This window comes from Homo sapiens, chromosome X, assembly GCF_000001405.40.
Source record: "Homo sapiens chromosome X, GRCh38.p14 Primary Assembly".
Lineage (NCBI taxonomy): Eukaryota > Metazoa > Chordata > Mammalia > Primates > Hominidae > Homo > Homo sapiens.
In genome coordinates, this window is record NC_000023.11 from 118,762,256 (window position 1) to 118,777,740 (window position 15,485).

Sequence of the window (15,485 nt, forward strand, 5' to 3'; positions counted from 1 at the left end):
TTACTAGATTTGAATTTTTTGCCCAGATTTTAAATCATAGTACTTTAAGAGTGTGTGTCCATAAGATGGCGCCTTAAGACCATGAAGACTGCACCACTCACTTGTCTGCTACCTGCCTGGACCCTTTGTGTGTTTGAGTTTTAGAGATTAGAAGTGAAGTGTTTTATATTGGCTTTTAAAGGAGCCTAGCATCTCGCACGTGGGTAAATTCCTTGGTCCAGTTGTTTTAGCTCATCATGGAACTTCCAAAATGCTTGCTAAAATAAGCCAGTGTTGACAGGCTATAATTCCAACTCCAGAGGGAGTGACCAAGTCCACAGCAGAACAGAACAGCAAATGCTCTTCTGGGCATTTGCATTATGAATCCTTCTGCTGAAATATAATAATCATTACTAGTACCAGAAATTAAGTGCCCCATGAAATGCAGCAAAGGGAAAAATCTAAGGGCTTTCATGTGGAAGGGGGCTGGTACTTGAATTTACAACAAAAGGAGTTATCAGAAAGCTGAAATACACTTGTTTACTCCAGTCTTTACTGTTCTCTCCTGTCTGAAATCCTGAGATGCATGTCTGAAATCCTGAGATAGTATTCATTTTGCCACTCAATTATTTTCTGCTGTTTAACCTATCACATGTATGCATTTTCTCTCCACTGAAAATATAGACTCCTACAGAAAACCAAATGCCACATGTTCTCACTTATAAGTGGGAGCTGGACAATGAGAACACATGGACACATGGAGGTGAACAACACATACTGGGGCCTGTGGGGGCTGTGGTGGGAGGAGGGAGAGCATCAGGAAGAACAACTAATGGATACTGGCCTTAATACCTGGGTGATGGGTTGATCTGTGCAGCAAACCACTATGGCACACTTTTACCTATGTCACAAACCTACACACCCTGCACATGTACCTCAGAATTTAAAAGTTGATATTTTTTAAAAAAAGAAAATATAGACTTCTGTAGGAAGGAGTTTGGTGCTGTCTACTTTGTGCAGTTCCTGCTACTAAATAGCAGCTAACCTGTATTGAGTGATTACTATGTGCTAGGTATCTTAATAAGCACTATATCTGAATTGTTTCATTTAATCTTCACAATAACCCTAAGGATCTAGGTCCTGTTATTTTGTCTCCATTTTACAAGATAAGAAAACTTAGTTACTCCTAAGGTCACATTTTTAGTAAGTGGTAGAATCAACATTTAACCAAAGTTGTAACGCTAAGACTTGGATTCTTAACCGCTAGAGAACACCTCAATACTTCCTCTTAATAGCAATAGCTATCATTCATTAAGTGTTTATGGCATGCTACAAAGATGCTCTTCTATGTGCTTCTTAATACAGTAGCTCATAGCAACCCATGAAATAGAAACTATTTTAACCTACATTTTATTGAAAAAACTAAGGCTCAGAGAGGTTAAGTAACTTGCTACAAGCCACACAGCTAATAAGTCAGTAACACTTCAAAGGTTGGTTGGTCTCCATGTATTTAACTTTGACCAAGAATACTTAGCATAATGTCATGTGCACAATCATCATTTAATAAATTATTATTGAATTGAGTTACTTTTTTTTTTTTTACAAACTTCTGAACTGAAGAGAACACATACACTATGGAAGTTATCTACCTAAATCAGAACTATTTTCTATTTGGAATTAACTCTGTTTGTACACTTGAGTTTAATATTCTTCCTCCTAGCAGATGTAGAATGTCATCAGTTTTTTGTGTGCTCACAGATTTTGAACTCTGCTGCTTAGATTTTTCTTTTTTTTTCCTTTTTGAGGAATTATTTTGCCTGGTGTTACACTTAAGAGGGGGAAGTAAGCGGGAACATGAACTGGTACCAACACATGGGGGCTGTGGTCAGAGGTAGCTCATGACAGAATTATGAAGTAAGGAACAACTTGTCTGTGACCACCCCCCACCCCCCACCCCCACCTTCCCAGCAGACTATCTTCTTGGTGCCCTGGCTTTCCTTCTCTTAGTGGTCTCTGAAGAGCCAGTAAACTATGCAGGGGGATTTACATTTGAACAAGAGCCTAGAGACGTAAATCTACAGGTTGATTCGGCAAGTTTGGAATTTCTATATATGGGAGATGGTCCAGGGGAGGAGGGACATCAATTTGCAACTTGATCCCTCACTGGTAGTTGACGCTTGTGATTCCCCAACAGGTCTACGATTCTAAATGGCCAGTAATAGGGTATACTAGCCCCCTGAGTGGGGTTTTTTTTTTCTCAACCTCTGTATGAAATATTGAAAGGATGTCCCTTCATCATTTGCTTGGCCTCTCAGCTCTTTACACAGGCTGGTAGGAACTATTTAGTGAATGACATTGAATGTCAAAAATAATATCTATGTGTTCTGGTCTTGGTTCCAAGTTTAAACGTCTCTTTGATAGAAGTTGACTATTTAAGCAACAGATTTTCATGTGTTTTTTACTCCATTTTGGAAATACTTGCATTTAAGGAAATTAGTATTCTCTTTACATTAGACAGCAAGTGACTTTTATTGTGTGGAGGAGAATTTTGCATTACACTTTCTTTTCTCCAACCCAGTCAAGTTTTATATCTTATACTCTCAACAAGGGACACTGGTTTCTCGCTCCCTGTCTCTTTTTAAAAAGTTTTTACTGAGTTATAATACATGAACAAAATTACACAAATCATAACCTATAGCTCAATGATTTTTCACAAATGATTTTTCACCTATGTAACCAGCACCACAGAAGCCCCCTTCAGTTGCTGTCCTCCCAAAGAGCAGCTACTCTCCTGGCTTCTAATCCCATAGATTGATTTTGTTGCTACTTTAAAACTTTATATAAATGGAATTATATAGAACGTACTTTTTTTTTTCGAGACAGAGTCTTGCTCTGTCACCCAGGCTGGAGTGCAGTGCAGTGGCGCAATCTCAGCTCACTGCAACCTCCACCTCCCGGGTTCAAGCGATTCTCCTGTCTTAGCGTGCGGAGTAGCTGGGATTACAGGCACATGCCATCAAGCCCAGCTTTTTTTTTTTTTTTGTATTTTTTAGTAGAGACGAGGTTTCGCCATGTTAGGCAGGCTCCTGGCTCTCGAACTCCTGGCCTCATGTGATCCACCCTCCTCAGCCTCCCAAAGTGCTGGGATTACAGGCGTGAGCCACTGTGCCTGGCCCAGAATGTACTTTTTTGTGTGTTTGCCCTTTTTTTCACTCAACATTATGTTTATGAGATTCACCAATGTTGTTTCTTATAGCTGTAGATGGCACGTTCTCACTACATTCATTCCATTGTGTGAATATACCATACTTTATCCATTCTCCCATTGATGGACGTTTGGATAGTTTCCCATTTGGTTTTATGAATGGAGTTCTTATGAACGTTCACATACTTGTCTCTTGGTACACATGTGCGTACATTTGTATGGGGCATTTATATAGGCATATGTGGGTCATAAGGTTACATATGATTGTCTCTAGTAGATAATAACAGTTTTCCTGGATGGTTGTGCCAGTTTACACTACTAAGCAGAAATTGTGAGTTCTAGATGCTTCATATCCTCACAACACTTGTTGTTGTCAGGTAAGTGTGTGTATTGTTATCTTGTGGATTTAATTTGCATTTTTCTCATGACCAGTGATGTTGAACACTTTTTCAGATGTTTATTCGCAACTTGCTTATCCTCTTATGAAGTGCCTGTTCAAGTCTTTTGCCAGTTTTTTTAAAATTGGGTTTTCTGTTTTTGCCTTATTAGTAGGGTAAGAAAAAATACATATGCAAGTCCTTTGTCAGAAATTGCAAATATGTTCTCACACTCTATGCATTGCCTGTTTATTTCCCTATAAGGTGTCATTTGATCAACAAATGTTTTTAATTTTAATATGGATGACTTTATTAAAAAATTCTCTTTATGGTTAATATGGGAGGTTTTTTTGGTCTTGTTTAAGAAATATTTCCCTTCTTCAAGGTCATTAAGATATTCTCTGTTTTTATCTAAAAGCTTGCTATAGTTATGTATTTATTAATTCATTTTATCTTACACATTTAAATCTGCAATATATCAGGAACTGATTTTGTGAATAGTATGAGGTAGGGCGTCAAGAATCTTTTTTTTTTTCATATGCATATGTAATTGACCCAGCACCATTTATTAAAAAAGGCCAACCTTTTTTCACTGTACCTGATCATCTTTTAATGGGATAAAAGGAAAGCTTGTTAGAAATGACTAGGTGATAGAAAATGGGTTTTTAAACATTTAGGACTCATTAGTTTATTTATTTATTTTTATTTTCAAGGTCCAAGAGGCTAAATGTGAGAATCCAGAATTTGAGAGAAATGTGGAGGTCAGTAAATTCAACATTAGCTATTTGGGTTTAGACTTAGAGCAGTTGGGGGTGGAGCATAGCCTAAATATGAGCTGCTTTGAGAAAAACAAATTACGTTGTTCCGTGAGTTATTGACAATTTTTTCGAAAAGTCAAAGATAATTTGAATTGCAATCCAAGTCTTAATCATAGACAGAATTTGGCAGATAATTGTATTATGATTCAATAACAGTGAAAAAGAATAAACTGGTAATATTCCTTGTGTATTTTTATTTTATGCCTAAGAATACATCTTGTTTCATGGTCCCTGGTGTTCTTCCTGATACTTTGAACACAGTCAGAATAAGAGTCAAAACAAATAAGTTATGCTATGAGGATGACAAACTCTGGAGTAATTGGAGCCAAGAAATGAGTATAGGTAAGAGAACAGAATTTTTATTAAAATTTAAAACACTGATGTATAAAAACTAAGCTGAAGCAGAAAATAGACTGGGGAAAGGGACTGTCATGCTCTCTTGATGTCAGGAAAAGAGTACTTACAATTGAAATTTATTTTCTTCTTAATCACTTTCAAACCACCCAGGGTTAATTGACAGTATACAGTTATTTAGAAAACCATAATCCAAATGGTTTTATGTTCTTTTCTATCTCATTTCCATTTTTATTAACAAACTGAACAAAAATATAGAAAGCAGGCATAGGCTGCACACAGTGACTCACGCCTGTGATCCCAGCACTTTGAGAGGCTGAGGCAGGAGGATCGCTTGAGCCCAGGAGTTGGAGACCAGCCTGAGCAACATGGTGAAACCCCATCTCTACAAAAAATACAAAAATTAACCAGATATGGTGGTGCACGCTTGTGGTCTTGGCTACCCAAGAGGCAGAGATGGGAAGATCTCTTGAGCCTGGGAGGCGGAGGTTACAGTGAGCTGAGATTGTGCCACTGCCCTCCAGCCTGGGCGACAGAGTGAGACCGTCTCAAGGAAGAAGAAAAAAAAAAGGCAGGCATAATAAAATTTGCACATTGTACAATACTAGAGACTGTCCTACATGCTGGTTGGCAGAAACAAGAGTGGAGCCATTTAATAGAAACCTGTACCTAAGTTTGAAAAAAATCATTTATTAATTGAAAGGCTGAGCAAGCTAGGCTCAAGTACAGGACTGGAAAGACCTGTGCTTTATGGATGTGTGTGTGGTGGGGTGGGATACACGGCTTTATAAGTGCAATGTGACTCAACATTGTAATCTTAAATGTGTCAAAAAGGCATATACAATCTTAGGAGTGATAAGTGCAGCACCCAGAAAGGAATGCTGCAGGTTGGGGCACAGAGCTATGGTCACATCAGAATTGTGCAGTATTCCATTCTGAGCACCACATTAAAGGAGTTGCCTTGGCAGACTGGAATCTATCCTTGAAAGGATAATCAGGATGTTGAAGAATCTCAAAACTTGGCAAGGAACAATTGGTAAAGTAACTTTGAGGAGTCATGATTGCTGATTTCTAATATTTGAGGTATTGTCAGGTACAAGAAGGAATAGGCTTTACTTTTTGTGTCTCCAAGGGGCAACACAGAACCAACTTAAGAACTTTTTAAACAGCTGTATATTGGTCAAACAGGTTGTCGAGGTAGCCAATTCCCTATTAATTGAGAAGCTCAACAAGTTATGTGCCAGGCATGGTTGTATTCGTTTATTTATTGTTGTATAACAAATTACTCCAAAGTTTAATGGCTTGAACCAACATACATTTACCATCTCACAGTTTCGGTGAGTCAGGAGTCTAGCCACGGCTTAGCTGGAGGTCTCATGAGGTTGCAGTCAAGCTGCAATGAGAACTGAAATATGTCTGAAGGCTTGACTGGGGACAGAGCATCCATTTCCAAGTTCACTCATATAGTTGTTGGAAAGCCTCAGTACCTCACTGGTTGCTGGATGGAGGCTGTTGCAGGTTGAATTGTATCTCCCAAAAAGGTATGTTCGTAGGTTCCAACCCCGGTACCTGTGAATGTAACCTTATTTGGAAATAGGATTTTTGCAGATATAATCAAGTGAGGATGAGGTCATGCTGGATTAAAGTGGACAGTTAATCTAATGACTAGTATCCTTATAAAAAGAGAAGCCACACAGAGACACACAGACACACAGGGAAGAAAGCCATGTGAAGATGGAGGCAGAGATTGCAGAGATGCAGCTACAACCAAGGAACAACAAGGATTCCCAGGAGCTACCAGAAGCTAGGAAGAGGCAAAGAGGGATTCTTCTCTAGAGCCCTCAGAGGGAGCATAGCCCTGCTGACACCTTCATTTTGGATTTCTAGCCTCCAAAACTGTGAGATAATACATTTCTGTTGTTGTAAGCCATTCAGTTTGTGGTAATTTGCTTCCCTTAGTTCCTTGCCACTTGGACCTCCCCATAGGGCTACTTCCTGACATGGAAACTGGCTTTCCCAAGTGAGTAATCCAAGCAAGAAACAGTGTGAGAGAACACGCAATATGGGAACCATGGTCTTTTATAACCTAACCTTAGAAATGACATCCCATTACTGCTGCTGTTCTGTTTTTTAGAAGTGAGTCAATTAGTCTAGCCCATGCTCAAGGAGAGGGGATTACACCAGGGAATGAATATCAGGAGGCAGGAATCATGTGGAGAAATCTTAGTGACTGCCTAAAACAATGGTGCCAGGCCTTGATGATGCTTTCTAGATGTTCATGACCTAGTGGGAAAAATGAATTTGTATATAGACAAATGACAGTCTATATGTTAGATGTAGCAAGGCAGGCTTTGGAATTGGACAGTGGAACTGGAATTTGAGGCCTGATGCCATTATTTACTAAATCCTTCCGGATGACTTACTAAACCTCTCTGAGCCTTATCTTTCTCATCTGCTTAAATGGGAGATAATGCTATCATTATAGCATATATATGAGATAAGCATGCAAAACCACCTAGTGTGGTATCAGACATATAGTAGGTGCTTATTTAAGAATAATAGTAGTTGTTAGGATTATTTTAGGTATTTTAGTAGTGGTAAGTAACCAGTAAAATATGTAGTCACTGTTAATAAGATTACATATTTAATATAGCATCTTTGTTAATAGTATTTAAAACTAGTTAAGATCTTCTGATTTACCTGAGCGGGTGGGGAAACCCACCCCATGAGCATCCCCTGGGCTCACCCAGTGCACAGAGGGAGGCCTCCCGTGGCTGGGCCCCTCTCAGTCAGCCCATGTGGCTGCCATGACCTGGAGCACCACAGCCGGGGGCGCCCACCAGCTCAACACCACCACATTCACGTGGCAGCACCTCCCTGCCTGGCAACCGCTGCTGTTGGCCAGCATTAGGCTGCAGCTCTTCTTCTACGTGGGCCTGGCCTTCATCAGCCTGGACCTCTATTACTCCTCCACCAGCATCAAGGAGCTGGAGTACAACTACACCGGCGACCCGGGCACCAGCAACTGCTCGGTGTGTGCTGTGGCTGGCCAGGGCTGTGTGCCACTGCCCATCTGCTCATGCGCCTGGTACTTCTCACTGCCTGAGCTCTTCCAGGGCCCTGTGTACCCCTACTACGTGCTGACCAACTTCTACCAAAACAACCGGCGGTATGGAGTGTCCGCGACAACGCGCAGCTGAGCGGGCTGCCCAGCACGCTGCACCATCCAGTCAATGAGTGCACCCACTGCGCCGCCTGCCCATCGTGCACCCTGCAATGTCATCACCAACAGCCTCTTCAACGACTCCTCGCTGTGGCACCAGTGCTGGCCCGGCGAGCCCTACGTGGAGGTGCCGCGCTACCGCACTGCACCTGCATCACCCGGTAGACCAACTACCCCATCAAGTTCTGCAACCCACCACTGGTCAACGGCAGCCTGGCACTGGCCTTCCATGGCACAGCACCCCTGCCCAACTGGCGCTGGCTGGTCTACGACAAGCTCAGCCCCATCCCCAACAACAACGGCTTCATCAACCAGGACTTCGTGGTGTGGATGCGCATGGCAGCGCTGCCCACGTTCCGCAAGCTGTTCCGCAAGCTGTACGGGCACATCCGCCAGGGCAACTACTCAGCTGGGCTGCCGCGGTGTGTCTACTGTGTCAACATCACCTACAACTACCTGGTGCGTGCATTTGGCGGCCACAGGCTCCGCATCTTCAGCAGCATCTTGTGGATGGGTGGCAGGAACCCCTTCCTGTGCATCGCCTATGTGGTGGTCAGCTCCCTCTGCATCCTTACTGGCTTTGTCATGCTGGTCATCTACATTAGCTACCAGGACCTACCAGAAAGATGATGACAATGAGGAGGAGGGGTGATTCCAGCTTTCCAACGACCCTTCCTGCTTCTTACCAAAATTCTGCAAGCTTTTTTCAGTCTCTCCCCTTTGCCTCTCATCCTATTCCAACCTCTCCTCACTTTTCCTCCCTTTGTGAATGAGGGGGCCAGAGAAGGGAATTACCCACTTACTCTTGGGGGCTGCTAAACTCTGTTGCCTGGTGGCGGAGGGTTGACTGCAGAGTGAAACATCCTTGCAAACTCTCCCCACCTCCTTCATGATGCTGAGATGCCATGTTAGGTTCTCCAAGTCCAAGAGTGGAAGGGATCCTTATAGAGACTCATTTTCAACCCCTACCAGAGGAAGAGATTGAGAGACCTAGCAACATCAAATAACTCAATCAAGATCAGGCAGCTGGCAAGTGGTTCCTGACGCTAAGGCTAGAGCTTTTGCCACTACAGTACAGTGGTTTTCTTTTCTTTGTGGGGAGGGTGGGTTGGGATGGAGAGTGAGACCCACAAATTATCTGCAGAGGCATGGAGGGGTGTGGGAGAACATATTTGTTAAATATGCAGATAGATGAGGAGGCACCAACCCCAGAGATTCTGACACAGTAATGCTGGGGTGAGATGCTTGAAACTGTGTTTTAACAAACTCCTCTGGAGATTCCTGTATTCTCTCAAATTTGGAAATCACTACCCTGAACCTGGTTGGGCCTGAAGCAGTCACCTGAGTCCAGTTTTTCAGATAGTAATTTGTTCCCAGGGACAGTGACACCATAATGTTGCAGGTTTGGTCTGGCACTCTGCCTTAAATATAGTATGCTCTAATGACTTGTGGAATGAATTTTTAAAAAATCACTATCTCTGGGCTGGGCGCCATGGCTCATGCCTATAATCCCATCACTTTGGGAGGCTGAGGCGGGTGGATCACTTGAGGTCAGGAGTACAAGACCACTCTGGCCAACATGGTGAAACCCTCTCTCTACTGAAATATAAAAATAAGCTGGGCATGGTGGCAGATGCCTGTAGTTCTAGCTCCCGGGAGGCTGAGGCAGGAGAATCGCTTGAACCCGGGAGGCGGAGGTTGCATTGAGTCGAGATCGTGCCACTGCACTCCAGCCTGGGTGACAGAGTGAGACTCTGTCTCAAAAAAATTAAATTAAAAAAAATCACTATCTCTGGAAAACTAGTTGGTGTACAGATTTGTAGGCCAGGGTTTGTGTCGATTTATTTGATATTTTAGTATAACAGCAAACAGGCAAACTTTACCAGATACTGTGTAGAAATTTGAAAATGTGAGGCCAGTTTGTACAGTTCAGAGGGAATGCTTTTTAACTGTAGAATCAGATAGCTGGAAGGGATCTTTGAGGGAAAGTAATTTCCCTAGTCACATCTATGTCTCCTGGCTCAGTCTTCTTTGTCATTTAATCTGTGTGTGTGGGTGTGTGCGTGCGCACACGTGCGTACTTACAAAGGGCTTCATTCATACCTTTTCTCTTGGATCTGGAAAAAATTTTTTTATGTTTTCCAATGAGATACATTTGTAGTAATCATATTTGAAACAATGCTAAGGTATATATAGTCTTATATGTAAACTAGAATCTTAACATTATTTGAATCTTGGAGATAATGTTAAAAGTCTTAGCTAAAATGATTCCATTGATTTTATCGATTGACTAACATCAATCAATATGTTTAAAGTTATTCTAAGAAGCAATATTTTTATTTAAAAAAACCTTTCTTTCATGGCAAAATAGCTTAAAAGAACTTTAAAAAAAAACCCTATGTGATATGTTCCAGTTTATTTGCTAAAAGCAAACAGTTATTTGGTATTTGTCAGACAGAATTCTTCAGTACCTGCTTTCTATTATAGCTATTTTCCAGTTACCACTCATTCGTTTATACTCCTTCCTTTAAAGCAGCACAAGATCTTGAAGTTTTTTTTTTATCAGTTAAGAAATATTGGATTGTATTGGATAGTATACATAGTTTAGTCTGTTAGTTCTCTGAAAGTTACTGAACAATGGACAATGTGCATGTCACTGACATCCGTCTCAGATCTTCTGGGACAACTATGATTTAAGAGATTCTATCTCATTATTACAGATACCAAAAAAATACTTGGGTAATTCCAGTGTGTTGGCTTTCCAACTCCTGAACACTACACAATTTTATTATCAGTTTTTGTATGGTGATTTTAGGCTATGAAAACATTATTTTATGTACATAGAGAAATTTTTATTATGAATGTTTGAGCTCACTAGCCCAGCCCTCCTCTATTTTGAAAAAGAGAGTTTACTACATTTTTTACTATGTAGTTGAAAACAACATGTATTTTGTCATTTTTAGAATGGTCAGTCTATTTCTATAAAATTTTAAATGTGGCTGGGCGCAGTGGCTCATGCCTGTAATCCCAGCAATTTGTGAGGCTGAGGCGGACAGAACACTTGAGGTCAAGAGTTTAAGACCAGCCTGGCCCAAATAGGGAAACCCCGTCTCTACTAAAAATACAAAAATTAACTCGGTGTGGTGGTGTGCGCCTGTAGTCCCAGCTACTCAGGAGGCTGAGGCAGGAGAATCTCTTGAAACATGGAGGCGGAGGTTGCAGTGAGCCAAGATCGTGCTATTGCACTCCAGCCTGGGTGACAGAGTGAGAGACTCTGTCTCAAAACAAACAAACAAACAAAAGTTTAAATGAGACCATCAAATTTAAGGGATTCTGATCCAGATTAAATTAATGAATATGGTTCCAGGTCCTAGTCTCTGAGTTTTTGAAAGAGAATAAAGCTTATGTTTGTCTTTTAAAAAATATCCTAATTTCAGGTAATCTTTTAGGTATTTGCTCGCCTAGGGAAGTTCAGGCACCAGAGGAGGACTTTTTTTTTTTAAACTATTAATTTAACAGAAGATAAGATAATTGAAGAGCTTGGGAAAATAGGTTGGGGGAGGGAGCAGAAATATTTGTGATCTTACTAGCTAACAGAATTGCTGCTTGGTTTATTACTAAAAGGGTTTTATTTCTCAAGTCTTTCTGTTTGCTTTTCATTCTCCAGGTAAGAAGCGCAATTCCACACTCTACATAACCATGTTACTCATTGTTCCAGTCATCGTCGCAGGTGCAATCATAGTACTCCTGCTTTACCTAAAAAGGTAAGGTAGCTGCCCAGGCAGGTTTTGCAGTTTCTGATAGCCTGTTTGCTGTGGTTATTACTTTTAGTGCTTGTGTTTTATGTCTGCCCAGTGTATTAGAAGCATGTTGCCTGTAAGTGGCTTTCGGGAGTATGACATGACAAGGAAGTATTACCACGCCCACTTTCTTTTCTTTTCTTTTTTTTTTTTTTTTCCTGAGATGGAGTCTCTGTTGCCCAGGCTGGAGCGCAGTGGTGTGATCTCGGCTCACTGCAGCCTCCACCTCCTGGGTTCAAGCAATTCTCCTGCCTCAGCCTCCCGAGTAGCTGCGATTACAGGTGCCCACCACCACGCCCGGCTAATTTTTTGTATTTTTAGTAGACAGGGTTTCACCATGTTGGCCAGGCTCGTCTCAAACTCCTGACCTCAAGTGATCCACCCTCCTCAGCCTCCCAAAGTGCTGGGATTATAGGCATGAGCCACTGCACCCAGCCGCTATGCCCACTTTCTAATGAAAACCATGTTGGATTAGTTTTCCAGGGCTCCCTGCTCAAGCACTGCTGCCTTTGCATGTGTTTAGGATTGTTGAATAGGTCCTATGTTCACATAATACTCTTTCAAATGCCTAATCTATCAAGTTAGTCAGTAGTTCTTAGAATGAAGTTTTAGAAATGGAGACCTTTACTAATAAAATGACTTGTCTGGTATTAATGCAAAGTAGGCTACTACTTAATATTGTGGGAAAGAGAACTTCATCAAGTTGTCATGAATGTATGGTATCCATTCCTTGAGAATATTTTATTTTCTCTATCTCATTATAGGACTGTTATTTGCTCTTGTAGTAAATAACTAAGGTTGAAATAAGGTTATTAAGTTGGATCCAGAACCAATATTTTATCATTATTTCAACATTTATTCAACATATATATATACTCTCTCTATATATGTATATTTTTTGAGTGCCTATTTGTGAACCAGGTACTGTTCTAAGTGCTAAAGTTACAGCAGTGAACAGGACAAAGTCCTCATCTACATTCTAGAGGGAAAGATACACACATGCACATACACACACACACACAAAATAAATAATAAATACTATAATTTCACTTAGAAGTATAATTGACAGTAGTGGGGTATGGCTAGGAGGTGATAGGAGGTGCATTTTATGTAGGATGTCACCAAGAAAGTGACATTTGAGGAGAGACTCCCAGTAATGTAAAGGAGTGAATCATTCAGATATTCGAGGAAAGAGCACTCCAGGCCATGGGAACAGCAAATGCAAAGTCCCCAAGGCTGAAATGCACTTGGTTTGTTTGGCTGGAGTGGAGAGTGCAGGGTAGAGAGTGGCAGCGAGGGAGGACAGAGGTTGGCCAACCACATCACGCAGGCCATGGCAAGGAACTGAGATTTTATTCTAAGCATGATGAGGAGCATTGGAGAGTTTTGAGCAGAGTAGGCACATGGTCTGAGTTACTGTCATAAAGGATTATTGTAGTTGCTGAGTGAAGAACTGACTTGGGCAAAAGTGGAAGCCGATGGAGTAGTTCGGAGGCATTGCAGTGTTTTGGCAGAAAGATGAGGATAACCTATACTAGGGGGTTAGCAATGGAGATAGCAAGAAGTGGTCAGAAATAGTATATATTTTGAGAGTAGAATTGATAAGACTTGCTGTTAGTTGCCTGTCTGTGGAGGTGTGAAGGTAATTAAGGATTCAGAGATACCTCTTAGATTTTTGGCTTGAGCAACTGAGTGAATGCTGGTGCCATGTACTGAGACAGAGAAGGCTGTGAGGAGAGCTGGGTTTGAGGGAAAGATAAGGACTTCAGTTTTGCATATGTTAAGTTTGAGATGCTTATTAGATATCCAAATAAGGATGTTAAATAAGCGATTTTGTGCATGAATCTGGAGTTGAAGGGAGAGGTCTGGGCTGAAGATCTAATTTTGGGAATCCTCGGCATGTGAATGGATTTAAAGCCTAAAGACCGAAAGGAGTGCTCATAAAGTGAATGAGATAGACAAGAAGACAAAAAACTGAATCCTGGGGCACATCCATGGACACTCACTGGGAGATGGAGGCAAGCTATAAGATTGAAAAATGGAGAGAAGTAGGAAGGAAAAAGAAACAGAGGAATGTATCCTGTTCTCAGATTATTCTTTTCAAAATTATACAGAGCAAGCGCCCATCTGGTCTGTTAAAAGTAGAGTAGCATATTATTTAGATGATAGGGTATAAGTAATTCATTTATTCTGATGGTCCCTGTGCTCCACCTATGGGCAAGAGTAGAACTTAATGCCCTTAGAACATTGATTTTTGTGTACCCTATTTTAGAAATTTCTTCACAACTGCCTTGTCAATAAAGATGACTTGTGTACCATGTCTTTTGTCCATGCCTTCTTTTAATATGGTGGTATTTATGTGGGACACTCCTATGGACTGGAAGGTTTGAATCAAATGTCTCTGTTTTCTTAAAGGCTCAAGATTATTATATTCCCTCCAATTCCTGATCCTGGCAAGATTTTTAAAGAAATGTTTGGAGACCAGAATGATGATACTCTGGTAAGAACAGATTTCATGGGGCTTGAAATGTTTTTTTTTTTTTTTTTTTTTGGAAGCTATGGCATTTTTTAAAAAAGTGTGGTAAGGTATCCATAACATAAAATTTATTATTTTAAGCATTTTTAAGTATACAGTTCAGGCTGGGTATGGCAGCTGACGCCTGTAATCCCAACACTTTGGGAGGCTGAGGCAGGAGGATCACTTGAGCCCAGCAGTTTGAGACCAGCCTGGACAGCATGCCACTGCACCCAGCTAATTTTTATATTTTTTTGCGAGATCTCATTTCCACAAAATATATAAAAATTAGCCGGGTGCAGCGGCATGCACCTGTGGTCCCAGCTACTCAGGAGATTGAGGTGGGAGGATCCCTTGAGCCCAGGAGTTCAAGGTTGCAGTGAGCCATGATCATGCCACTGCATTCCAGCCTGGATGACAGAGCGAGACTCTCTAAAAAATAAAATATATATGTGTGTATATGTGTGTGTGTATATATATATATATATATATATACACACATACAGTTTAGTGTCATTAAATACATTTATAAGTTGTACAACCATCGCCACTATCTCTTTCCAGAAATTTTTCATCATCCCAAATAGAAACTGTGGCTGTTAAACAATAATTCCCCATCCCCTCATTCCTCCCACCCCTGGTAGCCTCTATTCTACTTCTTGTCTCTATGAATTAAATATTCTAGATACCTCCTATATGTGAAATCATGCAATAATTTGTCCTTTTGTGTCTGGCTTATTTCATTTACCATAATGTTTTAAAGGTTCATTCATGTTGTAGCATGTATCAGAATTTCCTTTTGAAATTGGTTCTTCTAAAGTACAATTTATTTTTAAAAATTTGAAGGAGAGCTGATTTAAAATATAGTATCTGAGGCCAAGCATACCAGTTAAAAAGTCTTCAGAATACTTTGCTCATCTTATATAACTGGGCTCCATTCTCTCTCTGGTTAGGAGACATATTTTATCAAAACATGCAGGAAGAAGGGCCTCCTTTATGAAGCTAGCCTAATGAGCAGGCCTTCTGACTCTTGGATAATTTAAAAAACTTGATGTGGGGAAATATAAACATAGGGTAAGCAATTGAAATGCATTGTGTTCATGTTGTTTCTTGGAAGGCTAGACTCCAAAGATATAGAAATGGAGCAGCCCTACCCCAACTGTTATAGTTGGTTTCCTGCAGATTCTCATGCTAGAATTTGTGGCCAGAAAACC

The 15,485-nt window shown here is 40.9% G+C and overlaps 1 protein-coding gene and 1 pseudogene across 2 annotated transcripts in view, besides 1 other annotated feature; both read left to right on the forward strand.

Moving 5' to 3' along the window:
• IL13RA1 (interleukin 13 receptor subunit alpha 1) overlaps positions 1 to 15,485 on the forward strand; it is a 77,623-nt gene that overhangs the window by 34,650 nt on the left and 27,488 nt on the right. For both annotated transcript variants that reach the window (XM_047442096.1, NM_001560.3), the window contains exons 7-10: positions 4,275 to 4,322; positions 4,589 to 4,721; positions 11,624 to 11,720; positions 14,172 to 14,256. In XM_047442096.1, coding sequence (XP_047298052.1) covers positions 4,275 to 4,322; positions 4,589 to 4,721; positions 11,624 to 11,720; positions 14,172 to 14,256 — 363 coding nt within the window. The remainder of the gene's footprint in view (positions 1 to 4,274; positions 4,323 to 4,588; positions 4,722 to 11,623; positions 11,721 to 14,171; positions 14,257 to 15,485) is intronic.
• TMEM30BP1 (TMEM30B pseudogene 1) lies at positions 7,432 to 10,957 on the forward strand (annotated as a pseudogene).
• Positions 8,033 to 8,532: an enhancer, noted in NCBI's record as "H3K27ac-H3K4me1 hESC enhancer chrX:117904251-117904750 (GRCh37/hg19 assembly coordinates)". NCBI's record gives its function as "activates a minimal SCP1, AML or CMV promoter by ChIP-STARR-seq in naive H9 embryonic stem cells {active_cell/tissue: H9 hESC(naive)}" and the evidence as "EXISTENCE:reporter gene assay evidence [ECO:0000049][PMID:30033119]".